The 27987-nt window shown below is 44.4% G+C and overlaps 2 pseudogenes, besides 1 other annotated feature; one reads left to right on the forward strand and one right to left on the reverse strand.

Annotated features, from left to right (window-relative positions):
* Positions 4087-26377, reverse strand: LOC100420576 (death associated protein kinase 1 pseudogene; annotated as a pseudogene).
* Positions 4811-5311: an enhancer, noted in NCBI's record as "H3K4me1 hESC enhancer chr9:90415146-90415646 (GRCh37/hg19 assembly coordinates)". NCBI's record gives its function as "activates a minimal SCP1, AML or CMV promoter by ChIP-STARR-seq in primed H9 embryonic stem cells {active_cell/tissue: H9 hESC(primed)}" and the evidence as "EXISTENCE:reporter gene assay evidence [ECO:0000049][PMID:30033119]".
* On the forward strand, positions 21054-24034 carry ELF2P3 (ELF2 pseudogene 3; annotated as a pseudogene).

A 27987-nucleotide genomic window follows, 5' to 3' on the forward strand; every position in this document is an offset into this window, starting at 1 on the left:
GACCTGAAGCCATGTCAACAGGCTGCCTCTGCTGAGCTCTCTTCTGTGGTTCGATGTAGGGTTAAGAAGTTCCTGTGCCCTTGGGATTTCCTAGCCAAACCAGCTCCCATCCTCATTGCTTTCTCCCCTGTTGTTTCTGCTTTTTGTGCCCCCAGATATGTATGATGCACTGAAAGAGATCAAAGGATTTTAAAAATCAACTGATTTTTAAAATTCTGACTTAAGACAAGGATTTTAACAACAGACATGCAAATAAAAAAATCAATATTCAGCCATAGGTCAAATAGTCTATTCTTCCCAAATAGACTTCTGTGTCCACAATGGTCCTGAAAGTCAAGCTCTGAAGACGGTAAAACATTCTCCAAACGCAGGAGCCAATTTGAAAACCTCCCCTATAAGCTGAGAGGTCAATGTTATCAAGAAATTAATTGTTCCTGGCCTAGTGCGGTTGGAGGAAGAGAGGAGAATAGTTGTCCCCAAGACTGCGAGAGGGGCAGGAGTTTCTGCAGGAGGCCGAGGGCTGTAGCCTGCTTGCACTCATGCCTTGGTGGCTGGGCTTAGAGCACATAGGATCTGGATTATTTCCACAGCCAGGCTTGGCATGGAGGGTGGGGAGGCAGGTCAGACATCTTGAAGTGACCAAAGGCAGCAAAAGACAGACTGCTCAGAAGACCCCAGGACGCCTCACAACCATGGGGAGGAGGAGTGGCTCCCTGAAGAATAAAAAAGACTAGATTTTTTTGGGTGGCATTTAATCCAAATTTGTTTTAAAAAGATAAAGGAATGTGGTAGTTCTGGGAAGTTGTGGTGGAGTAACTGAGCTCAAGGGCAGCATGGGTGAAACAGAAAGGAGCTAATTAGTTCCTTTCTAATGAAATACCAGGAAATGAAAGGAAATGACAGATGATTGATGAGGCCTGGAGAATTTAAGTTTACAATTTCTCCTTAGGCTTGTGCTGTAATTCCCATGGCCATACTTTAATGTCCAGTTCTATTCAGGCACTAGCAAGGATAAAGGTTAACAAACATAGAAAAGAAAGTGTCAGAGTCTCTTTGATGGGTTAGGGCATTTTCACTCATCGGTCACGTGCACTCAGCCATGGGGTAATGCTTCCTGGCTGGTGACCTTCTTTCCCACACCCCATCCTCCTCCCCCATGAGTTCTCTACATTGCTGTTACAGAGGTAGCTGTTCTTGGCTGATGCCTTACAATTTGCATGGTGGAGTGTTCAATGAACTCAGAGGGATCTGCATAATCTAGGTACAAATCCCATCAAGGCTGAGACAGACAGCATTCCTAGAATAATCAAGACTTAGTGCCCAGGATCACCCATCCAGAGGCTTTGCATAGGGTGGACAGACACAGCCCTGAGGGCCCACAGCTTGAAGAGTTGAGTGCCGGCTAAAATTTGGGCCCTGCAGGATCTCCCTCCAGGCACCACTCTGCAGCCTACAAAGTTTGCAAGGACTGACAGATAATTGGCTGCAGCATGCAAGACCCAGAGCTCACCCCTGCTTTCTCAGAGCTCACCTTCTAGAACACTCTGGGAAGGCAGAAGTCAAGGCTGGCTTGCCACATTCACACGCTAGAACCAGGTACCTGGATGCACCCTTGTTATGCTCACCAGTCTCCCAGGCTATCACCACTGTTCTTGGGAAAGCTCACACTATTGGTGGGCCCAACTTGTTCTTGTACTCTGTTTGTTGTTGTTGTTGTTGTTGTTGCTGTTGTTTTGAGACGGAGTTTCGCTCTTGTTGCCCAGGCTGGAGTGCAATGGCATGGTCTTGGGTCACTGCAACCTCCACCTCCTGGGTTCGAGTGATTCTCCCGCCTCAGCCTCTCGAGTAGCTGGGATTACAGGCACACGCCACCACGCCCAGGTAATTTTGAAATTTTAGTAGAGATGGGGTTTCTCCATGTTGGTCAGGTTGGTCTTGAACTCCCAACTTCAGGTGATCTGCCCTCCCTGGCCTCCCAAAGTGCTGGGATTACAGGCATAAGCCACCGCACCAGCCTCTTGTACTCTCTCCAAGGGGTGGCAAGTTTTTCTTACTCACCTGCCTATTGGGAACCAACTTAATATTTTTATTGTGGTAAAATAGACATAACATAAAGTTGACCATTTTAACCATTTTTGAGAGTACAATTCAGTGGCATGAAGCTCATTCCCATTGCTGTGCCACCATCACCACCTTCCATCTCCAGAACTTTCTCTTCAACCAAAACTGAAACTCTTAACCCATTCAGCACTAACTCCCCACTCTCCTCTCCCTAGCCCCTTAATTGTAACAGGAATGAAGATAATAATAATGTTCATTTCTTGTTGACTTTCTTATTGGTAACCTGTCCTTGATTCAGCCAGAAGTAGCCTTCATCTTGGGAACTGTTAGGATTATTAAAGGATAAATGGAAAGTAAAAGAGTCAAACGTTCAGAGTTTAAATTCCAAAACACAAGTTTTGAGCCCCTGGCTTTCAACAAAAAACAAGGCTCTATACAGACAGGTGAAATGTCCTTCCAAATTCCAACAGGCTCCTGGGAAGCTGGGTGGACACTCAGGATGGCCTGGCTCCAGGTCACCTTGCCTTGCGCCACTGTCTTTAGGAGTGAAAACAATCTGTGAGCAGCATCATAGCTGGGCTAACAAATAGTGGAGCGAGTATCGTGGAGGAGGATTCAAGGCTTCTTTATAACCTGGAAGACAGAACAAGGGACGAGAAATACAGGTAGCAAGTGTCAGCTCACGTAGGAATTAAAATCTGCTTTTCCAATTCTCCATCCCTGGGACTGTTTGAGCAGACTGCCTGGCCCCTGTGTTTCATGGTGGGTGATGCTCTGGATGAACTGAGAAACCTCCCATTTCCTCTTGACTCTTAGATCCTGTGCCCTTATTTTAAGAGCAACCAGAATGACTGTGTTTCCTAAAGTGTGGCCCTCCCGCAGGGGCCTTGGGTAAGTTTCAGTGTTCAAGGGATGGAATAAACATGGTCATGAAATATGTCATGAGATGGGGCCTGAGGGCTTTCCCTGCACTTCTATGCATAGCAAAGAGCAAAGGCTCTTGAGCAAACAAAACACAGCAATAAACCTTTAGAGTCATGTGGCCCATGGTGAACTTATCACTAGTCCAGGGAAATGGAGGAAACAGAGGAACACTGGGTGGTTATTTTTCCTAACATTAAATTATTCCATTGAAGGAAATTACCACTGTTCTACCACTATAACTTTCCTAGTTTTGTTAGTTCCCTTCCCCTCCCCTCCCCTCCCCTCCCCTCCCCTCCTTTCCCCTTCCCTTCCCTCTTTCTCTCCTTTCAGGGTACTATAATTGGTGACAGCATTGGATAGTTGTTGCTTTCAACTGTTCTGTTAGTTTTATGGAAGGGTAACTTAAAATGTCACTGGGAAAAGACAGATAAATCCACAAGTAGGAACATTCTACAAGATAACTGGTTTTGCATTTTTGCTCTATGGCTGGGTTTTTAAACCGCACCCCAGTGTTGAATGTCACACAACTGGAGCAAAGCCTCCTATTTTGGGTCATTTCTTCCAGGAATCACTTGCTGGGGGGTTGAATGTGTTCCTTGAATTATGATTACCCTCTGTGTCTGCGCACACATTCTCTGCCTTAGGTCCCCCAAACATTGTCTCCATGAGAACACCTTACTGCCTTTTCTCAATGGTTTTTGCACCCAGGAGGCCTGTTTGGAGCTGGTAACTCCACACCGCATGGAAAGCAGCCATCCTGAAGGCTGCCAGTAATAGCAGGTTAGTACCAGGTGCCCAGGGGGAGCGAAGAGGGACCCAGTCACCCAGGGCAGCGGGCACTGCACTCCAAAACTATCAGGCACTGGAAACAAAAGCAACACACAAGACAAAATGACAGCTTCTAAGGTGAGCCGAGAACTGCAGTTCAGAGCGTCACTTGAGGCTGTACGTGATTGTCACATGTCTGGAAATATTATCAGTAGTTGGCCCATTTCCACACTGCCTCCCAAGGCTCATACCACCTCCAAGAACTGGAATTTGGGACAGATGTGAGTTCCTGGTGCTCCTCACAGCCTCCTGCCTGGACTACTAGGGGCTCACCTCGCCTGCACTGTGGAGCTGCTGAGCAATGCACCTGGGGTACCCCTGGATGACCAGAGGGTTCAGCTGGTCCTGCACTTCGCACACAAACTGCTGCAGTGACATCAGCTGGTTGGGTCCATTGAGGTTCCACCAGGAAGGCAGCATGGAGATGATTTTCTCACACAGGTGAGTCATGGGAGGGCAGACCTAGAAGAAGCAGGGCAGGACAGGTTAACTCACCTGCAGCTGTGGGTGCCCTGAGCGGAGCTGCGGTGGAGAGGACATCTTTCATTCAGGTGCCTTGCAGGTGATTTGGTGAACAAATAAGCACGTTTATGCTTGAGTACTGGGACAGTTATTATTTTAGTTACCATCAAGTGGAATCAATTTATCAAATATAAGGTTTTATAGAGGCTCTTCAGTTCTACTGGAAATCTATTAAACAGATTTTGAGTCTTCCAAGAATGTTTTTGGAATTGTGGACTCAGTCACTCAATCAACTAATGTTCACCAACTCCTAATGTTTCACTCCCTCACTTCTTCCTCCCTCCCTCCTTTCTTCCCTCGCTGTCTCTCCCTCCTGTGACTGTTTCACTCATGTAATGACCACTTTATGAACAAAAAGAGGAAAAGAGCATGAGTATCATCATCAATGTCAGAGTGGGTTTTGACCAGTAAATTAGCATTCATGGGGACTGTTGTTGAAATATTGTTTCAAATTAGACCAATTCTTGGTAATTAGCTTGAAATGATTTTCTAACCTTTTAAGTTGGTTAAATAAATCAGCCTATGTTACAGATTCATATAATTGACGCACCTCCTGATTAGAAACCACACATGCCATGCCCTGCACTGCGCCGTTAATTCCACACTCCCCTCTCAAATCCTTTTATATCAACTAAATTCCACTCCCTATTCCCAAAACAGGATTCTCAGGGGTGAGTGCAGTTGACGTGGTGGGCTCCACCTGCCTGAGCTCAGGAGTTTAGGGGTTGGGTGGGGGGTATCTGAGAAGCAGCAGATCATGCCACAGCCCAGCTCAAAAATCTCCAGGGACACTCCCTCCTGCCTCAGGAATGCAGCCCCAATCCAGACCTGGTGGGGAAGTGCAGGGGCCCTCACAGACAGACCACTGTTAGTTCCTAGATCACCGCCCCTGGTTTCTGTGACAGATTCCTCCCAGGCCTCGCCGGACTACTCCCTTTGTGTTTCCCGAGAATTCCAAAAGCATGTCTGGATCCAGCGCCTGCTGTCGGGAGTGCAGGGTTTTGGAAGGGGGGCCCATAACAGGAGGTGGCCCCTGCTGGACAGCAGAGGGGCCCAGAGCTGACACTCAGGCTTGGGCAGTAGGAACCTTCTGAGAACGCGTTACCACTTTCCACTGGGATGTCTGCCCTTTTCTTACTAATTTTGGAGAGCTTTTTGAATATTATGGGTAGTAGTAACCCTCTAGCTGTGAAATGCATTGAGAATATTTTTTTCCAGGTCTATTTCACTTTGTAACTTTGTGGAATATATTTGCCAGAAAGTCTTTTTTTAAAAGTGTGTCAAATATGTACATTTTCTTTAAACATATCTAGGGTTTTAAAAGGTTTCTAAACTTCCAAGTCATTTTAAAAACAAGTTTTCCCAAATTTCCATTCAAGAGATTGTTGTATCATTTCACGGTGAAAAGCTCTAATCCATTTATCTTTATGCTCTGTAGTGAGCGGGAGTTCAACGTTGTTTACCTTTAGGCAAATAGCCAGCTGTGTCAAGATCGCTTATCAAACAAACATTTTCCCCATTAAATTGAAATAACATATTTTGCTTTCTATAACATTTCTGTAGATATTATGATTGACTTCTATACTCTCTAGGCTGTTCCTATAACTTATTTAATCATATTGATTATAGAGCCTTTATAATGTTTTATTTATTCTTCTATTAAAGTTATAAGATAGGAAACTCAATCTCCTTAGTCCCATTCAGATGCTAACTGGAACTCTATTAAATTTATATAACTCAGAGAAATTGAAACATCCAGTCCTATCTTGCTATCAGGGATAGCAATCTCCTTCCATTTTTTTCATCTACTATTTTATGTCCTTCAATAATTTTGTTAGTGACGGTTTTTCTACTTCTCTGAATTTTCTAAATATTCCACAATGTCACTTTGGAATTACTTTTGTAATTCGAGGGCAGGATCTGGGGGCCCAGGACAAGCTTCTCCTCTCTCTGCTGCCACAGCCAGTTCTGCTCCGGGGAGCTCAGGGGACACCAACTTTCCAGAGAACAAAATGCACATGGACTCTGATTCTGTCTATTCATTAGAGACAGAAAGTCATAGTTGATGCTGAGATACAGATGTAGGGAATGTTTTCTTTCAATGTTTCAGTATGTTCCTTGCTCTCAAATATTTCTGAAGGGTGAAGCTTTACATCTTCCCAGGACTACTTCATCCAGCAACCATGGCGTGCTCTGTGCAGCACCCCAGCTGGTCTCATGCCACTTGAACAGGAGTCCCCTGCCTGTGGGGTGTGGTCTGGTGCTGATGCACAGGCTCTAAGAGCATCAAGTGACTGTTGACTTGCCTGGCCCAGGGCTAGTGGCATCTTCTCTGGTGGCATCTTCCCATCCACCTCTGGGTCCAGCTGCTGAGCTGTGCCTTCTATCCAGGGCTCCCTCAGACTCAAGGCTGCAGGTGCACACCCCAGGTCAAGTTTTCCCCACACCGGGCAGGAGGAAAAGGTGCTATGGGGCCTGTGTGCACGGCCTCCTGCCTCTTTACAGCCTCAGGCAGATGCTGGTTTAACTGTAGGTGAAGCTCCTTATTTCCAGGTACTGGATAACACTCTGCCTACCCCTCTGGAGCCAATGGACCACCTGGGCATTAAGCAATGGGGGCCTCCATGGGGTTGCACACATCTCTTGTTCTTGCCAGGTCCTCCCAGAGGCTGCATGGCTTTGCTAGAGAGCTCTGAGACTGAATGTTGCCTCTGACATTGACTAGGCATGACCTTACCAGGGCCCACACACTCCAATGCATTTCTGCGCAGGGTACTGTCCTTCTCCCCTGGTTGGGAATGTCATCACAGAGCAGAATTTCACACCAGGGGCAGGACCTGCTTCTGAGGTCTCTCTCCTGTTCCAAGGGACTCTTGACTCTTGGAGTTGGAGTGCAGGTGGAGAACATCATGAAATCAGAGCCTGTGTCCCTCTAAGTGGAGCAGCTGCCGCCTCCCCGCTACCCAGCACCACGGAGGAAGGTGCATCCAGTGTGGAACAGGCTTCCCACAAGAAGCCAAATATCCACATTTTTAGGTGTGATCTCCTGATTTTTAAATGACAGTCAATGTCCCCCCTCCCCTCCTCATACTCAACAGAGCACTGCAGCTTGTAGGGGAGGCCCCCATCTGCTGTGTTCCTCTCGCCTGGGAAGACCCACCTCGAACTTCTGAGCCTTGGGTTACTTTCCTCTGAAATGGGCTCATGAGAGGACCGCACAGATCCTGGCAGTCAAATGACAGGCTCTGTGGACAGCGTCTGGAACCCGGGTGAGCACCAGCTACAGGACTCCCTAGGTCCTTCCCACTGGGCCTGGCTCCTATGGAGGGTCCCACATGTATTCTTGCCCAAGGCTCACTAAGTAATAGAGCCTGGACAGCCCCAGTCCAAGCACCGTCACATCTCCCCTGGTTGCCAAGATCATCTCCTATCAGGTCCCTCTGCTCCACCTCCTGACCCCGAGGCTCCAGTCTGAGCAGCTGGGGGAATTCCTAAACCTAAGGCAGATCTCGCACCAGCCAGCTTAACACACTTGGCCCAAACCCAGTCTCCTCACCCCCCAGGTAAGGTCTATAAAGCCGTGCCACCTCTCGGGTCACGTCGTCGGGGTCACGTCGTCGGGGTCACATCGCTCGCGCATCGTTCTCTGCCTGCACCTCCAGGCCCATCCTCTGGCCCTAGCCCAGTTACCCTCCTTCTTTGTTGTTTTATGCTTGAGCTCCTCCAACCCTTCACTACCTGGCCCCTTGCACTCCCTATTCCTCTGTCTTCCTCCAGCCCTTCCTCGGGCTGCTTCCTTCTTCTTGCCCTTCAGGTCTTGGTTTCAGTGTCACATCAGAGAGGTCCTCATCAGCCAGGTGAAAGTAGACTCCACCATCCTCTCATCTCACTTCATCCTGTTTCAATTCCCTGCATGGCACCTACCCCAGGAGGCAGCAACCCTTTCTGTAGAGGGCCAGATGGTCTCTGTGGCAACTCAACTCTGCCATGTATGAACACCAGCCGTAGACAAGAGCGTGTGGCCGTGTCTCAATAAAACTTTATTTACAGAAGCAGGTGGTGAGTTGTAGGCTGTTATTTATCACCCATTGATTCAACTTATGCTATCTGGCATTTTTCTGATCTGTTTCCTGGCTGGGTTCTGCCGATTTTGTTCACCGTGGTCTCTGCAGTGCCCAGAACAGCTCTTGGCATGCAGTAGACACTGGGAATATCTTTTCAGTGCATGAGTGAATCAGTGTTATTTGGTAACAGCATTGCTCTTTGAAGCCCTGGTGGATCTCCTAGTTTCTAGTTTCCTTTATTCCAGCACCAACTGTGGCAATTTATTTTCATTTTTCTCATCAGAAAAGAGGACTAAACATCTGCAAGCTAATGAGGAGACCATCCACGGTCTGGGAAGGCCAGATAAGAGCGCTGAGAGGCAATGTGGCCCCGCCCACGTGGCAGGGTGTAGTGAGAGCCCATGGATGGAGCAGCAACTCTTAATTATGCAAATGCAGCTTGCAGGTGGTGAATTTTTCATTCTGGGCAAACTCCCCCTTTTTTTTTTCACTTTTCAAAATATTCCTGGGCACCTTTCTTCACTATCTGATGAAGTAAAGGCACACTACTTTTAATATCAGCTCATGGAAAATCTGATTAGAAGGAGAATCAAACAGAATAAAAATATGCCAACTCCTGAAACTCTTATTTTAAAATCCGATAAGAATGGGACTTGCAGCGACTGTAGTAAAATGGATGCTGATATAAAATCAAGATGCATCCCCCATCACTACCTGTCATAGAAGGAGTCCCTCCTTTCTTTTAGAAGGAGAACTGGGTTTGGCTAAGCAACACCAGCATCCTCAGGCAGATATGGATAGCTGTGTTGATGGCCGATGTGACACCTCGGTTCTTGTCTTCTTGGTTTAAAAGAATTTAAACAAAAGGCACACAGCAAAGGAGATGAAGCATAGAGTGATTTTATTGCAAAGGAGAAAGAATATTTTGAAAGTTAGGTGCAGAAGAGACAGTACACCCTTAGAGAGAGGGAGTTCGGGGCGGCTGCTCCTTAGGGTGAGAGGGTGAGACAGCATTGATCGTTGTTGGAGAAACCCCCTTTATGGGAGTCTTACATGATTATTAATAGGGAGGTGGGAAGAGGTTTTGCTAATAAGCATGTTCTGGGTGGTCTTCTGGGTGCACATGTGTAGTAACTGTACATGCTGGTTCATATGTCCCATGTCTCATTAACATCTTAAATCTCTACCCAGTGGTGGTTTTTTTCTTTTTTCTTTTTTTTTTTTTTTGGAGATGGAGTCTTGCTCTGTCACCCAGGCTGGAGTGCAGTGGCACAATTCTGGCTCACTGCAACCTCTGCCTCTGGGGTTCAAGCAATTCCCCTGTCTCAACTTCCTGAGTAGCTGGGATTACAGGTGCACGCCACCACACCCGGCTAATTTTTTGTCGTTTTAGTAGAGACAGGGTTTCACCATGTTGCTCGAGCTGGTCTTGAACTTCTGAGCTCAGGCAATCCACTCGCCTTGGCCTCCCAAAGTGCCAGGATTTCAGGTGTAAGCCACCGCGCCTGGCCATGTTTTTTACAATTATGAGCAAAGGGTCATTTTGAGGAGAGGTAAAATCAAAATGTGCATGCTGTCTAGAAGGGAAACTCCCCACTGAAGATAGCGTTGCTTGTGTGAGCTCAATTACAATGCAAATGCTAAGACTTACTGTGTTGGCTGTACGGTCACTGGTAACTGTGGTTGCTGCATCCCAAAAACATGGCCATTTCCTTGACTACCTATCCTGCCTCAGCTGCACTGGGCTTTGTTTTATTGGTAGCAGTGAGCACAGAGGAGTAGAAGGTGCAACCTCCTTCTGCAATAAGGTGGTACCTACAGCCAGGGTGGAGGTGTGGGGGCTATTAGAGACCCCTAAAACAATGGTGAACTGGTCAGCTACCTCTGGTGGGCAGGCAGGCATCGATCTGTAGCATTTGCTGATTCTTGTGGTGTAAATGCTCCCACCCTGGCTGATTTCAAGTACCCCGTGTGATGTCACTGAGTTGGGAAGACATGCACGGCTCTCAGGGACATCACTGGAGGCTCCTGCACACCACTGCCCTAGTTCACTTCCTGTGAACTTTCAGAGTAGATCCCACACAGATCAGCCCCTGGCCCATGTTCTTTCTTTCCCCGGGAACTCCAACCTTGGCCTCAGTCACCTTCAATGCTGTCCTGCCCCACCCATTTGGGGAGCTCACTTGGGCCCCTGGAATGCCCTGTCTGCAAGGTCCTATTTCCCATGGGGCAGCCCCCTGCACTGTCTAATAATGAAAACAGCTAGTCCCTCTCCCCTGCCCATCCTCCATTGGTCCAGGGAAACAAGAAGACTTTGGTTTTCTTTCCAGATGCCCAGTCCCATTGATTCTCTAGCAAATGTAGTTTAAAAACACATTCCTAGGCAATGTCAACTGATGAGAGCCGGGAACACAGAAAGTATTTCTTTTGCTCATTTGGCCCATTTGGAAACCAAATAACATGGCCACCTCCTTCAGCTCTTCCGGATACAGACCTCTCCCCACCACTGTGTGAGATCTACTCTGATCCAGCTCCACAGTGGCTCTTGCAGAGTATGGCAGCAACCCAGGGGGCATCAGACAATGTGTGTAGGTATTGTTTTGGTTTTCACAATATGGGGCTATAGGGGATGCTAGCATGTTAGATGCTTGGCAGCCACAGACAAGAAATATCCTGTAAGGACAGGAGTTCCTACTCACCCAAATCCCCAAAGGCATCCAGTGAGAAACACCGAGAAATATCAAGAGAAAGGACATGGAAAGGAAGAAAATGGTCCTAAGATGCTCTGAAGGGTGAATGACCTCTTCTTCCCCTTCCCTCTCCCACATCACGTGCCCCATTGTCTCCTGCTCAAGGTGACCCGAGTCAGAACTGCAGGTCAGCCCCTTCCTGGCTTCCTCCGCAGGCACTGTCTGCTCCTGAACTCCCACCACAATCCTCAGCGATGCATTCTCCAAAGAAGCCGCTGTGACAGCTGTCATTTTCAAAAACCAAATTCCAGTACCGGGTGTGCCCAGGTGCCAAGCAGTTATTTGTGTGGGGATTTATGTTCACCCACAAGGAAGACAGACTGTGATTAGCAATGCTTGGCAAACAATTCATCCCATTATGGCTAATCCAGACGCTAAAGTCAAGAGCCCACTGAGGGATGACGAAGGTAAACAACCTCAAGGGGCTCCTTGAACATGGAGTCTAGAAGATTCTGCTGAAGGTAACGGGGATACCAAGTCCTCACAGCTCCACAGATGCTGGAAGCATTCATATGCACTTCACGTGTCCATCAGTGGATGAATGAGTTTTTATATGTGGCATATATTCATAGTGGAATACTGTTCAGCCTTAAAAAAGAAGGAAATGCTATGATTTCCCACAAGACAGCTAAGCCTGGAGGGCAACGCATTGAGTGAAATAGGCCAGACACAGAAAGAGAAATATTAATACTAAATGTCTCCCTTCTACGTGGAATCTAGTAGAGTTGAACTCATAGAAGTAGAGAGTAGAATGGTGCTTACCCTGAGATTGGGGTATGGTTAGGGAGACGTTGATCACAAGATACAAAATTTGTTAGACAGGAGGGAAAAAAAGGAAGAAGGATGGCCAAAGACCCATCATTCTCCTCTACTAAAAAAACTCCAGAAATTCAGACTTAGTAACTCCCTCCCTGAATGTCTTTCCAATGCCCCAAGTGACCTCGATGCTCCATAGACAACGCCTTCAACAGCAAAGTGCTTCCGGGGGTGGGAGCAAGCTGACCTTCCCTAGAATCCTGACTATAGATTCTGTTTAGAATGTGGGGTCTCATTTTGAGAAGCTCTTAGTATTTAACATTCACAAGAAGTTCACAGGTTCAAGAAAACATAGAACAATATTCAGGGTAAAGAGAAGCAGCAGAGATTGGCTGGGTGTGACGGCTCACACCTGTAATCCCAGCACTTAGGGAAGCTGAGGCGGGCAGATCACCTGAGGTCAGGAGTTCGAGACCAGCCTGGCCAACATGGTGAAACCCCCATCTCTACTAATAATATAAAAGATGGTGGCAGGCGCCTGTAATCCCAGTTACTTGGGAGGCTGAGGAAGGAGAATCTCTTGAACCTAGGAGGCGGAATTTGCATTGAGCCAAGATTGTGCCACTGCACTCCAGCCTGGGGGACAAGAATGAGACTCCATCTCAAAACAAAACAAAACAAAACAAACAAACAAAGCAAAAGAGAAGCAGCAGAGATAGAGACACCTGGTCAGTGTGGCCAGAGCATCCTGGGAGAAAATGCACTGAACGACAGAGGGGGCAAATGCAAGTGGGTGGTGAGGAAAGGATCAAGGCAGACAGAAAGGACACCGCTCAGATAAACCTGCTAACTTGGGAGAAAATAATAGAGACAGGAGACAGCCAAATGCCACCCAGGTCATTGTGCACAGGGGGCTTGCCTAAACATGCCCACGGTGAAAAATTCCTTCCCTTAACACATGCGCAGTAAGGGAAATAAAACAATGTGGAGTGGCTCAGACTAAGGGCTGGCCTCTGCACTAGGGGAAAGGGGGGGTGGAGATACCAGGAATTTACGCCTTATGCAGCGGGGAGAAGCCTGTACTCTTCATCTCGTGTGTGGTGGCCTGGTATTCAGTCTGTGAGGTGGGAGCCTGTTGGCAGGATCCCCCTTTTTTTTTTTCACTGAGGCTTTCTTTTAATAAATTCTGCTCTCCTCACCTTTCAATGTGTCCATGTGCCTAATTTTTCCTGGTCATGAGACAAGTACCTGGGTTTTAGCTGAACTAAGGAGCACAAAATTCTGCATCTGAAGGACTGAATCGAAGAGGAAAAGAGGAGAAAGAAAGCTGAACGCTGAGGAATGCCACTAGGTCCGAAATTATTTGAAGTCAATGAAAATCAGTCACCTGTAGATGTGATTTTGGTTTGTTGATAGGAGGAACAGTATTTGCCATAGTGTTTAGAGTATTGATATTTTGAGGAAAATTTCTCATTTGTGGCTTGATTGGTTAGCTCCCTCTGAAAAACATTTTGTTCATGAATTCTATTTAAATTTGTGAGCTTTGTAACAACTTGAGGAGGTTGATCTAGCATGTAGGATTTTTTTTTTTAATGAGTTCTTGCTCTGTTGTCCAGGCTGGAGTGCAGTGGCGTGATCACAGCTCACTGCAGTGTCAACCTCTCCAGATTCAGGCGATCTTCCCACCTTAGCCTCCCCAGTAGCTGGGACTACGTTTGCATGCTACCACGCCCAGCTAGTTTTTGTATTTTTTGTAGACATGTAGTATTGTCACATTGCCCAGGCTGGTCTCAAACTCAAGAGATCTGCCCACCTTGGCCTTCCAAAGTGCTGGGATTACAGGAGCAAGCCACTGCATCCAGCTATTCTTCTTCTTTTTTTTTTGTTTTTGAGACAGGGTCTCCCTCTGTCACCTAGGCTGGGGTGCAGTGGCACGATCTCAGCTCACTGCATCCTCCGCCTCCTAGGTTCAAGCGATTCTCCTGCCTCAGCCTCCCGAGTAGCTGGGACCACAGGCATGCTGATTGGTTTCAGGAGGGGACTAATCAGAGGCTGAAGTGAAACCAATCAGATATTTGCATAGGATGTAACTTTGTAACTTCACTTCAGCCTCTGATTGGTTGCCTTCCACAACCAATCAGACTGGTTGCAGGCCACTTTTTCATTTACATAGGGTGTAAACCAAGTAACCAATAGGAACCTCTATAGAGTACTTAAACCCCAGAAAATTCTGCAATCAGCGCTCTTGAGCTGCTTGCTCAAGCCCACTCCCACTCCGTGGAGCATACTTTGGTTTCAATAAATCCGTGCTTTTGTGCTTCATTCTTTCATTGCTTTGTTTGCTAGGGTTTCCGGGTAGGAAGAATGGCCCCAAAGATACCCCAATCCCTAGAGTCTGTGAATACCAAGCATTACATGGCAACAAGGAGTTTTCAGATGTAATCAGCGTACGGATTTCAAATAGGAAGATCACACTAGGTCATCCTGGTTAGATTAGTCCAACCTAATAAAACTGGCTTTTATAAGCAGAGAACTTCCTTTGGCTAGGGACAAGGGAGATGAGGCAAGACGGGGAGGTGGTGTCAGAGATTCAAAATTTTGACTAACTACTGCTGCTTTTGAAAATGAAGGGCTACCAAGCCAAAGAACACGGGCAGCATTCAGCAGCCAAGAAGGACCCTGGCCATCAGCTAGCAATGAAACGAGGACCTTGATCCCACCACAGAAAGGAACTGAATTCCGCCAACAACCTAAATGAGCCTGGAGACAAATTCTCCCCTGGAGCCTCTTGATAAGGAGCCAGACTGGCTGTCATCTCAATTTTGTACTCAGGAGACCCTAAGCAGAAAACCCAGCCAAGCCGACTGGACTTCTGACCTACAGAAGTGGGAGGCAATCAACAAGTGTTGTTTGCTGCCTCTAAGTGTGTGGTGATTTGTTCTGGCAGCAAAAGAAAATGAATGCCGTTAAGAGGTGAGGTGCAGAAAGAAGAAACAGAGTGGGTCTTTGGATGCCCCCTGGAACCTAATACTATGTTTGACATTGGTGTTGCATCCAGATTTCAAAACAAGATCCCGGCTGTCCTTCTACAGTATCGCCCCAGGAACAACAGAAAGTAGTCACAGGGAGAATCACCAATTCAGTTCTTCTAATGAGGAGCTTAGGAAGACAGAAGTTTGTGGTTTGCCTGCAGTGGCTTTTCTATTTAGTAGGGGGACAGAGATGAGGACTCCAAACTCGTGACTCTCAGCCTAGGAACCTTCCAGAGACCACTCCAGGAGGGACGCATGAAATGTCAGCCCTCCTCACATTTTGCCTGTCTACTCACCTTTCTGTAGACGGCAAAGATGGTTCCAATGGAGGCCAGGCAGTCAATATTGGAAGATTCATCCAGTGGGTCAAAGCAGACCATGTATTTCCTCTAAATCAGAGAGGGAAGCACCACCCAGTCAGCACATCTTCCCATTAGCACAATTGCGCTGTCAGGGCTGTGTGCAGCAGAGAACACCACATGGAAAAAAGATAAGAGAACCATGGCATATCCTTATCGAAAAACACCATGACTTACAGAAGGCAGGGTGTGTCAGCTTACATAAAAATACTCCTTTGGGTTTTGTATTGGACAACTCGCCTGTCCAATGTGAAGACGAGAAGATAAAGTGGGTGGGGTCTTGAAAGACCCACATCCCTACACCTAGCCACTCTGCTGTCACAGGCAGCTCCAGCCATGGAGGGAAGTCCCTGGGTCCTTTGTACAGCCGCCTGTGTGCAAGGTCCTGAGAGAGCCCTTAGTGATGGGGGCTGGAGCCCCTGGCTCATTAGACACCAGTGACAAAACTTCAAGTGAGATGAGGGTCATTTCTCCCTCTACTCAAATTAGTTTTCCCTGACTTTCCAACGAGTATTAGCCTAGTCTCATTTGAGCTTTGTTTCTGTTTTTGTTTTGTTTTGTTTTGTTTTGTTTTGTTTTTTCCATGCTCAGTCAGAGGCAGACAAAAAAAGTTTGATAATCTATAAACTTAGAAATTCCCCAACATCTCTATAGTAATCTAATGTATCCCATAGTGATCCGATTTAGCCCACTCATGCATGTTTTTATTCAGCAGATACTTGTTGAGCTTCCAGCATATGCTAGGAACTGTTCAGGGCACTGGGATTACAGGGGGGCGGCAATACTGGCAGCAAGGCTGATTTCTTGGAACTGAGATTCTAGTGTGAGAACAGGCAGCACACAGGCCAGCACACACACAAATAGGTTGTGGTGTGTGCCCTAAAGAAAACCTACGCAGGCTGGAGGGGCTGGTGACCCATGAAGGGGGTCACATTTGATGACAGTCTTGACTAGCATTAAGGAATGAAGACACACAGAGAGACCCAGAGAACAGATTTTTTTTTTTTTATCAGACAGTCTCATTCTGTTGCCCAGGATGGAGTGCAGTGGTGTGGTTACAGCTCACTGCAGCCTAGAACTTCTGGGCTCAAGCAATCCTCCCACCTCAGCCTCCTGAATAGCTGGGACTATAGGAGCACACCACCATGCCCAGCTAATTTTTCAATTTTTTGTATTTTGATTTATGTTGCCCAGGCAGGTCTCAAATTCCTGAGCTCAAGTGATCCTCCTACTTCAGCCTCCCAAAGCGCTGGAATTGCAGGCGTTAGCCACCACGCTCATCTTAGAGAGGAGAGTTTTAGGCAGAGAGATTAGCAGGTGTGGAGTATTCAAGAGCTGGCATGAAAACCTGTGTAATTCAGACCAATGGTAGAAGACAATGGTAGATTAGACAGGAGAGAGAAACAAGGGTCATGTCAACTGAAGTTGAAAGTTTAAAATAATAGGGGTGATGTGGCTTAAATTGTGTGAGACAAGTGTAAAAGTGCCTTGCACAGTACCCGGCATATAGCAGAGGTTAAATAAATTTGGCTTTACTTTACCTTTTCCATTCTTCCAGCTGATCACAAAGAAATAGCCTCTTGTCCCCAATTTCCAATGTGTAAAAGAAGGGCAAATAGCCCAATAGATGCTATTCTATTTGAGAGAGAGGCAGGTCAGTGCTTTGTTTCATAGTTCATTGAAATATCAGGGCCAGTGTGCTCGTGACTCCTAAGGAGTTCAGCCAACTTTTTGGGTCAAATAGAATAGCATCTATTCTGTGTTACTATATTGCTGCTGAACATTGGTTGAACCTTTTGACCGCCAGCAAATAAAAAGCTATTCATGGACCCATAGTGAATACGGTCCCTCCCTAGCCATGCCCTGCACTAACCAACTTTACCATCGTGTTGAACAAGAGCACAGGATCCTCGTGATTTCCTTTCTAGAGTAGTCTAACAGCTCATCAGGCATGAAGAAATCTCTGCTGGAACCATAACCCCCTTGCAAAATGTGGGGTGAGGGTGGCAGTGGAAACAAGAAGAGGGGTGAGAGTACGAGGCTGTGTTTTACATCTCTTCCCAGGAACTCTGGTTTTTACTGGACTCCACATGTTCAAGCCACTGACAGATAAAGTCAACAGCCGTGAACAACCGCCCACTGAAGTGGTTCCGTACATCACTCTGAACTATTTCCTGAATGAATCACTGTCCTACTGTAGAGTCTTCTTTCACTAGACAGCTCAAGATTTCCAACTAGAAAAGTGGCAATCCATTGTTTCTAGAAAACAAATACTAAGAAATAGAGGAAAAATCCAGAAATTAAAGAAAAACAGATTGTTTCTGGCTTAGTAGCATCATCTAATGGCGAGCAGGGGCACTGCAGCCCCTGGACGCACCTTCCTGGCGATGATGGTCACGTCCTTTTTCTTTTGTATGAGATGGGGATCATGGGCTGAGCAGATGCCCCAAAGGTGTCTGCCATGCTGTATGCAGGAATGCTGAGGTTTCATGCAAAAACGTATGTTGGGATCACTTGACGGGGTGCATGGAAAGTATCCTAGCAGAGTTTTGCTAGTAGAGAATGTGCCCTCCGCTAGTACTCTAGAGTCACAGCCCAGATCCTAGCCTTCGGGTGGAGGTGCCGCCCTATGAACGGCCATCAGACTGTCCTATTGTTCAGAGACTCCTTTCGTCCTTACTACTTCATCTCAGGCCTGTGAGGATCTCTACCAAGCAGAGCAAGCCCATAAATAAATAGCTTTGTGCTCACCAATGCATCAGTGGCGCTGAAATAACTGTGCAGTGGACACCACTCTCCCTCCCTCTGGGCCTTTCAGCTGCTCTGTGTGTCCACGCTGTTGTGTGCCCTGAAAGAACTTTGAGATTTGCTGAAAGGTCTCCAGCTGCAATTTCAGACCATGTGGATAACTCAAATGTCTAACATTTAAATATGGCTGAAAGGGGTCGACTGCTGGGCTGGATGGTGGCAGAAGTAGCAGGCTTTCCCTTGGATCTCTTTACAGGGCAGAGATGACTCCTTACAAATGGCACCAGTAATCCCTCTGCCTCCTGATACCCATCTAACAGAAAAGTGCACCCTGCTCATAAGAAAACCCCAGGCCACATTTGTCTTATGTGACCCTGGTCTCTGGCTACAGCTGACTTGACACAAACTAAGACAATCAGATTTTTTTCTTCTGGAACTTGCTGTGAGACACAGAGACACAGTGGACTGGATGACAATGCTGGGATGTGAAGGATGTGTCCTCGAGGCTAGGAAGGCAGTAGGTGCTGGATTTCATGAGAGTCCCCTGAAATATTCCAACAAATTCCCTTTCTGCTTCAGCCAAAATGAATGGGTTTCTGTTACATACAGCAAAGTTGGCCTTGAGTACAACAACAGATATTACAATTAACATTTTGCAAATGAAGAAAGGGAGACTCAGAGAGGTTAAAAATGTTGCCAAGCTCAATCTACCCCAGTCAGGATAGCATAGATTATGCTGCAGCAATAAATAAGCCAGAAACCCCAGTGGCTTAGTACAGCAAAGATTTGTTTCTCCTTCCCATGCCAGGCTGATAGCAACAGGGTAAGTGGCTCAGGCCTCCAGGCTCCTGCTGAGTCGTGACCCTGTCTCTAAATGCATGGCTTCAGAGGTGGCTCAGAAGGGAAGAGAGAGGATGAAGGATTGAGCCTTGGGTGTAATTCTACCCCCACTCCATTTGACAAAACCCCTGGCCCTCAACAAAAAGCAAGAGAGGCTGGGAAATGTAGTCTTCCTATGGGCCCAGGAAGAGAAATGGGTGTGGGGAGACTGATCTCCACCAGCCTCTCACACAACTGGGATGGGCAGAGGCAGAACCTGGCCTAAGGCCACCCTGACCCCAGCATAAGGCATCTCGCCAGCACTGGTGCCAGCGGCCTTCTCTGCAGCTCACCAGGACTCCACTCTCCATCACCAGCATCTCCATCCACCTCACTCCAGCTGTGGCTGCCACAAGGAGTCCTTGCACCTCATGGCAGCACCTCAGTGCTTCAGGGACCAAAGGATGCATCTCTTTTTATTTTTCTTTTATTTTTAGTTTTTTAATTTTTGTGGGTACATAATAGGTGTATATATTTATGGGGTACATGAGATGTTTTGATACAGGCATGCAATGCATAATAATCAGATCATGAAGAATGTGGTGTCCATTCCCTCAAGCATTTATCCTTTCTGTTACAAAAATCCAATTATCCTTCTTAAGTTATTTTTCAATGTACAATTACTTTATTTTTGACTATAGTCACTCTACTGTGCTATCAAATAGTAGGTCTTATTAATTCTTTGTAACTATTTTTTTATACCCATTAACTATCCCCACCCACCCCTGCCAATCCCCTCCCACTACCTTTCCTAGCCTCTGGCAACCATTCTTCTGCTCTCTATGCCCATCAGCTCAATTGTTTTGATTTTTAGATCCCATGAATAAGTGAGAAAATGCCACGTTTGTCTTTCTGTGCCTGGCTTGTTGCACTTAACATAATGACCTCCAGTTCCATCCATATTGTTGCAAATGACAGAATCTCATTCCTTTTTATGGCTGAATAGTACTCCATTGTGTATATGCACCACATTTTCTTTACCCTTTCATCTATTGATGGACACTTAGGTTTCCTCCAAATCTTAGTTATTGTGAACAGTGCTGCAGTAAACTGGGGAGTGCAGATTTCTCTTCAATATACTGATTTCCTTTCTTTTGTGTATATACCCAGCAGTGGGATCACTGATTTGTACGGTAGCTCTATTTGTAGTTTTATGGGGAACCTCCTAACTGTTCTCCATAGTGGCTTTATTAATTTATATTTCCACTAATGATGTATGAGAGTTTACTTTTCTCTAGATTTATACTCATGTGTGCAGAAAATGCTGAAGATTCTACCAAAAAAACCTGTTAAGATAAATGAATTCAGTAAAGTTGCAGGATACAGAGACAAAATACAGAAATCGGCAGCACTTGTATACACTAATAATGGACTATCTGAAAAGAAAATGTAGAAAAAGATTCCATAGAAAATAGCTACAAAAAAACGAGATGCCTAAAAATAAATTTAACCAGGAGCTGAAAGATCTCTGGTTTGAAAAGTATAAAACATTGGTGAAAGAAATTAAGCGGATGCAAATAAATGGAAAGATATCCTGTGTTCTTGCATTAGAAAAACTAATATTTTTAAGACGCCAGTCCTAACCAAAGCTATCTATAGATTCAATGAAATCTCTATCAAAATACCAGTGACACTCTTCACAGAGATAGGAAAAACAATCCTAAAACTCATATGGAACCAAAAAAGACCCCAAATAGACAAAGCAGTCTGGAGAAGAAGAAAAAGAAAGTAAGCTCCAAACATCATACTGCCTGACTTCAAAATACACAATACACTACAAAGTTATAATAACCTAAACAGGATGGCATTAGCATAAAGAAAGACAAATAGACCAAAGGGACAGAACAGAAAGCCCAGAAATAACTCCATGCATCTACAGCCAACTGATTTTTGGCAAAGTGCCAAGAGCACACATTGCGAACAGGACAGACTCTTCAACAAATGGTGCTTGGAAAACGGGATGTGCACACACAGAATGAAACTGGATTTCTATCCTTCACCAGATAGAAAAATAAACTCAAATGGATTAAAGACACAAATATAAGACCCCAAAATATGAAACTACTAGAGGAAAACAGCAGAAATGCTTTAAGACATTGGCCTGAGCAAGATTATTTTGAACATGACTCCAAAAGAGAATTGAAGCTACTGAAGCCCTGCTTCCTATGAAATCTCCCACCTACTTGAGGGATTCAAGAAGTCCTGAATTTATCCATGTTGCTATGAGGCCAGATATCATTACAGAAACTGTAGTGGAGGTGTCAACTGAGGGGTCTGAACCAACGGATACCTCTCCTATTCCTACATCACCAGATAGCCATGAACCAATGAAAAGGAAAAAAATTGGCTGTAAACCAAAGACCCAACAATCACCAATTTCCAGTGGGTCTCCTGAGTCAGGTATAAAAAAAAAGATGAGAGAAGGAAAAGGAAACATAATATATTTGTGGGAGTTTCTTTTAGATCTACTTAAAGATAAAAATATTTGTCCCCTCTATATTAAATGGATTCAGAGAGAAAAAGGCATATTCAGGCTGGTGGATTCAAAGGCTGTCTCCAAGTTTTGGGGAAAGCATAAGAACAAACCAAACATGAACTATGAAACTATGGAATGAGCTTTGAGATTCTATTACCAAAGGGGAATTATTGCAAAGCTACCAAAAGGGAAGTCTTGCAAAGGTTGAAGGACAGAGGCTTGTATATCAGTTTAAGGATATGCCCAAAACCATAGTGGTCACAGATGATGACAGAAGTGAAATCTGTAATGAAAATTTAGCAGGAGCTACTGATAAAAAATCATTGGAACGAGTGTCACTGTCGGCAGAAAGTCTCCTGAAAGCAGCATCCTCTGTTTGTGATAGAAAAAATTCATCCCCCATAAACTTCTCCAGAGCAGAGAAGAGTGTAGCTAGAGTCGTGAATATCACTTCCCCTGGTCACGATGCTTCATGCAGGTTTCCAACTACCACTGCATCTGTATCAGCAACAGCAGCTCCAAGGACAGTTTGTGTGGCAATGCAAGTACCTGTTGTAATGACATCATTGGGTCAGAACATTTCAACTGTGGCAGTTCAGTCAGTTAATGCAGGTGCACCATTAATAACCAGCACTAATCCAACAACAGCGACCTCTCCAAAGGTAGTCATTCAGATAATCCCTACTATGATGACAGCTTCTACTGAAAACCAAGAAAAAATCACCATGCAGCCTGTCAAAATTATTACCATCCCAGCTACACAGTTTGACTTTGTCAACTACAGACAAAGTCAAATTTAACTGGATCAGGAAGCATTGACATTGTTGGAACACCATTGGCTGTGAGAGCACTTACCCTTGTTTGTTTCAATAGCCCATGGTACACCTGTAATGAGACTCTCAGTGCCTACTCAGCAGGCATCTGGCCAGACTCATCCTCTAGTTATCAGTTTGGTCATAAAGGGGCCAGAGGTTAACTCAGAAGCAGTGGCAAGAACACAAGAACATGATGTGAAAACTTTGCAGCTGAAAGAAGAAAAGCCGGCAGATGGAAATGAGACAGTTACCCACGTAGTGGTTGTCAGTGTACCTTCAGCTATTGCCCCTTCTTGTAACTATGAAAATGATGGACTAGTGACATGTGAGAAATAAAATAGCAGCTCCACCATGTGCTTCAGGCTGTTAGTGGTAGTAGTGACATAAACATTTGCAAGGGAAGTCATCAAGAAAAGCCAAAGAGGACTTTAAGACATTTTTAATGCTTATAAGAAAACAATTGGCCAGGCACGGTGGCTCACAATCCCAGCACTTTGGGAGGCTGAGGCAGGTGGGTCACCTGAGGTCAGGAGTTTGAGACCAGCTTGGCCAACATGGTGAAACCCTGTCTCTACTAAAAATACAAAAAATAGCCAGGTATGGTGGTGGGCACCTGTAATTCCAGCTACTTGGGAGGCTGAGACATGAGAATCACTTGAACCCAGGAGGAGGAGGTTGCAGTGAGCCAAGATCGTGCCATCGCACTCCAGCCTGGGCAACAAGAGTGAAACTCCAACTCAAAAAAAAAGAAAAAGAAAAAAAGAGAAAAAGAAAACAATCAAACTTACTGGAAATAAATTACCTGTCTCATGTTTCAGTGGGAAATGAACTACGTATTAAGATGCTGACAGAAAACTGCCTCTTACAGAAACAACTGAACCTGTCAATCAAAAGAATTGAAAGCAGCTCACTATGAGATCAAGTTACACTAAGACTTGGAACACTAACATTCTGTAAGAGGTTATGTAGTTTTCAGTGGGGAGGGGTTGGCATGAGTGATCTCATTGTTACATATAGCAATTTTTGATGCATTTTATATGCATCCCAGCAATTATTACTGTGTTTGCACAATAATCACCTAACTGGTGCTAAGTGAAGACCCTGCTAATAGAGGTATTTTAGAATGTGAATTGAAGAATGGATCCAAAAACTTCAGAAAGAGGATAGCAAAAGAAAATCTAGTGATATATATATACACATATATATACATATTATATATACATATATACGTATATACATATATATCATATATAGTGGTATATATATCACTATATATCACTATATATACACACAAATATATACATATATACGTATATACATATATATCACTATATAGTGATATATATAGTGATATAGATATCTATATCACTATATATATCACTATATATGTATCACTATATGTACACACGCACATATATATACATATATATATATATATATATCTTATAGCTTAAGCTAATTTAAAACAAAGCCCTCAGACTTTTTGTTTTCTTTCTTAAAATAAGCTAATGGCTTGTTCGTGTAAAGCTTTTTTATTAAAAGAAAAAATGTAAAAATCTTGTACCTAGCACAGTATTGTTATAGAATTTACGTGTAACATTTTATATGGTAGTTTAAGTCTGTCAGTTTCTTAACTGTGGACAAATTAACAAATGGCTTTGGCCTTTTGCTGTAACATGCCTGTGTCACTCATTCAGCCCTGGCATTTGTGCAGATATATCAGTTTCAGTACTACTGTCTCTAGGAAGTTTAGGCTCAGCATGAATTTTTGTCAGGCTCTAATACCTGGAGCTTTTCTTTCTTTCTTTCTTTCTTTCTTTCTTTCTTTCTTTCTTTCTTTCTTTCTTTCTTTCTTTCTTTCTTTCCTTCCTTCCTTTCTCTCTTTTTTCTTTCTTTCTTTCTTTTCCTTCTTTCTTTCTCTCTCTCTCTCCTTCCTTCCTTCCTCCCTCCCTTCCTTCCTTCCTTCCTTCTTACAAACAGAAATACTAGATATAGCAATCCCACTATTGGGTGTATATTCAGATAAAATTAAATCAGTATGCTGAAGAAATATTTGCGCTCCCATGTTTATTGTAGTACTATTCACAATAGCCAAGAAATGAAATCAATCTAAGTGTCTATCAATGCATACATAGATTGTTACAAATATGGTATATACACAGAATGGAATCCTATTCAGCCACTAAAAACAATGAAACCCTTTAATTTCCAACAACATAAGTGACCCTGGAAGACATTATATTAAATGAAATAAGCCGGACACAGAAAGACAAATATCACACGATCTTACTTATATGTGGAATCTAAAAGGTTGATCTCATAGAAGTAGAAAATAAAACAGTGGTTGCCAGAGACTGGGGAGGGAGTGGTTAACAGGTACAAAAGTATAATTAGATAGCAGGAATAAGCTCTGGTGGCCTATTGTACAGCAGAGTGGCTATAGTTTTCAATAATGTATATTCCAAAGTAACTGAAAGAGAGACGTTTACATGTTATCACTACAAAGAAATGATAAATGTTCCAGGTGATGGTATGCTAATTACCCTGAACTGATGATCACACTATGTATACATGTTTTGATATATCACTTCGTATCGCGTAAATATCTATAAATATTATGTATCAATTAAAATTTTTAAAAGAGCTGGACATGACCTCCTAAATGAAATTAATGATCCAGTAGTGGGTTGCAACTTATATTTTGAGAAATACTGATTAGTGTTATCACAATAATCATGAAAAGCAGTGAAAGCTAAAATAATTAAAGAAGTCACCACCAAGCCATGGTGCTGGGAGGTGAGAAAGAAGAGGGAGGACAGCTGCTTTTCATCACATGCTCTTCACTCATTTAACTCGTTGTTATGTGAATTCATTGATTTGATAAAAATGAAAAGTACAACAAAAAAGCTAAGCAAGCAAGAAAGGCCTTTAATTCTTTTCCTGGTTCAAGTTGTTCCTGTTGTGGTTTCCACAGCCCTGATTCAGTTCCCTGGGATAAGAGCCTGCCCCTGGGTTGGAGACCCAGCACCTGACCCTCACCTACTCCTGATCCCTTTCAGCAATGATGTATCTCTGTCATATCCAAACTCGCCTCCAGCTGGTTCAGGAACATTCATGATGTCCGCATGGAAGCCAGCAGGACAACTTGGAGTGGGTTCTTCAGCTTGTCACCAAAGGCTGGGGGCAGAGAATGAATTATTTCAGGAGGCGGATCCTGCTACCTGGCTGACTTTACTACCCAGGTGAGGAGGGCCTGCTGGCCTCATGCCCAGGCCATCTCTCCAGTTGGAGGACAGGGCCACAAACACCTCCAGCACGGCTCTGGGGAGGCCCAGCTCCAACATGACGCTGCAGTTCCTCACACTATGTTCTCACAGTCTGGGTATAGGTTTTTTATGCTTATGGAGGCTGCAGGCCAGAAAGAACTCAAGGGAGCCCTTGCACAGGGCATCGTGTACCTCCCAGCCTTGGCCTTCTCTCTCCAGCCTTTCCACTGCATTTTCCTTTTCTGCAACACCCTGCAGCATTCCAGGAAGAAGGTATAAGAGGGGAGGATTCCTCCTGATGCCAGTATTTGATCTGTGCTATGCTTGGAACTGTGTGAGTCCAAGCTTTGTTTTTAAGGGCAGAGCCTGAGTAGAACATGAGGCAATTCTGCAACAGGCACAGTGACGATGATGGACCATTGTGTCTGTGGCTGTGATTTCAGTGGAGCCCTTCTTTTGCTATTGCTGGGGCAGTTTGCCATTGCTGGAAAACAAGGGGTGCACACAGGGTCACCAGCCAGCCTAGACCACAGTTGAAAGCCACCAAAGCCACTGTGTCAGCCATAGGCCAAGGACTGATGCAAAACCCTTCCTCCTCCTAGACCTTGATGGGAGACAGTGTAGAAGCCAAGACATCCTGGAGAGACAGGTGCCAGCATCTGGGCTCCACCTGCAAGCTTAGAGCCAGGTGCAAAGATGGGAATCTGCTGTAGTTGGGAGAGAGAGGAGAGTCAGGACCTCACCTTTTGAGAAAGCTCCTCAGCAGCCCACACTTGAGAGAGTCCATAAGGCTGCTTTTCTTGGAACCTGAGTGGCCAAAAAGCCTGAGCTTGATTCTTGGGAGCAGGTTCTGCGTGGGTCAGGGCTATTAGATGAAGAGTCCTCAATGCATATCCTGAGCATGGATGAGAAAAAGCCAGTTAGTGACAACAACAACAACAACAAAAAGTTTCAAATGACTATTCTCATGGTCCGTAACCCCTGGTCTGCAATTATTACTAATGTTGTAGATATGTTTATTTCTGTCTCTAATAAATTGTTTTAAAACTTCAGATAAAATTGATATAACAAGAAGTCCAAGCCAGAATGATCAGGCAAGAGAAAGAAATAATAGGCATCCAAATAAGAAAAGAAGAAGTCAAACTATATGATTCTACACCTAGAAAATCCTAAGGACTCCACCAAAAGAATCCCGAACTAATAAATGCTTTTGATATAGTTTAAGGATATAATACAAATGTACAAAATAAGTAGCATTTCTATTTAACAATAACAAGCTGAAAACCCAATAAAGCAAGCAATCCCATTTACAATAGTCAAAAACAAATAAATAAATATGTAAGAATACATCTAACCATGAAGGTAAAAGATCTCTACAAGAACTACAAAACACTGCTGAAAGAAATCAGAGATGACACAAACAAATGGAAAAACTTTCCATGCTCATTAATTTGAAGAATCAATATTGATAAAATGGCCATACTGCCCAAAGCAATCTATGGATTCAATACTATTCCTATCAAGCTATCAACAACATTTTTCACAGAACTAGGAAAAACTATTCTAAAATTTATATGGAACTAATAAAGGGCCCGAATAGCTAAAGCAATCCTGAGCAAAGAGAACAAAGCCAGGGGCATCATGCTACCAGACTTCACATTATACTATAAGGCTACAGTAACCGAAACAGCATGGTACTGGCACAAAAACAGACATGCAGACCAATGGAACAGAATAGAGAAACCAACAATAAAGCTGAACACCTACAGTCATATGATCTTCAACAAAGTTGACAAAAATAAGCAAAGAGGAAAGGACTCCCTAGTCAATAAATGTTCCTGAGATATCTGGCTAGCCATATACTGAAGACTGAAACTGGACCCCTACCTTTCACCATATACAAAAAGTAACCACTATGGATTAAAGATTCACATGTAAGACCTCAGAATATAAGAATCCTAGAAGAAAACCTAGAAAACAACGTTCTGGACATCAGCACTGGCAAAGAATTTACGACTATATCCTCAAAAGCAATTGCAACAAATGCAAAAATTGACAAGTGGGACCTAATTAAACAAAAGTGCTTATGCACAGTAAAAGAACTATCAACAGAGCAAACAGACAACCTACAGAATGGGAGAAAATATTTGCAAACTAAGCATCTGACAAAGCCCTAATATCCAGAATCTATAAGGAATGTAAACAATTGAACAAGACAAAATTAAAAACCAAATAGCCTCATCAAGAAATGGGCAAAAGACATTAACAGACACTTCTCAAAAGAAGACATGCAAGTGGCCAGCAAAAATGAAAAAATTACTAACCACCAGAGTAATGCAACATTACTAATCATTAGAGAAATGCAATTTTTCACACCTTTTCACTTTCAGAACCCAGTACAGCTATTGAAGCTTTACAGCTCATGGGGCCTCTCTATGACTGGGAACTCTTAAGAGTTTTAACTCTCAGCCTTGCTCACACTGGGCCTCAAGCAATTTGTCAGTTGC

Source organism: Homo sapiens, chromosome 9 (genome assembly GCF_000001405.40).
Source record: "Homo sapiens chromosome 9, GRCh38.p14 Primary Assembly".
NCBI lineage: Eukaryota > Metazoa > Chordata > Mammalia > Primates > Hominidae > Homo > Homo sapiens.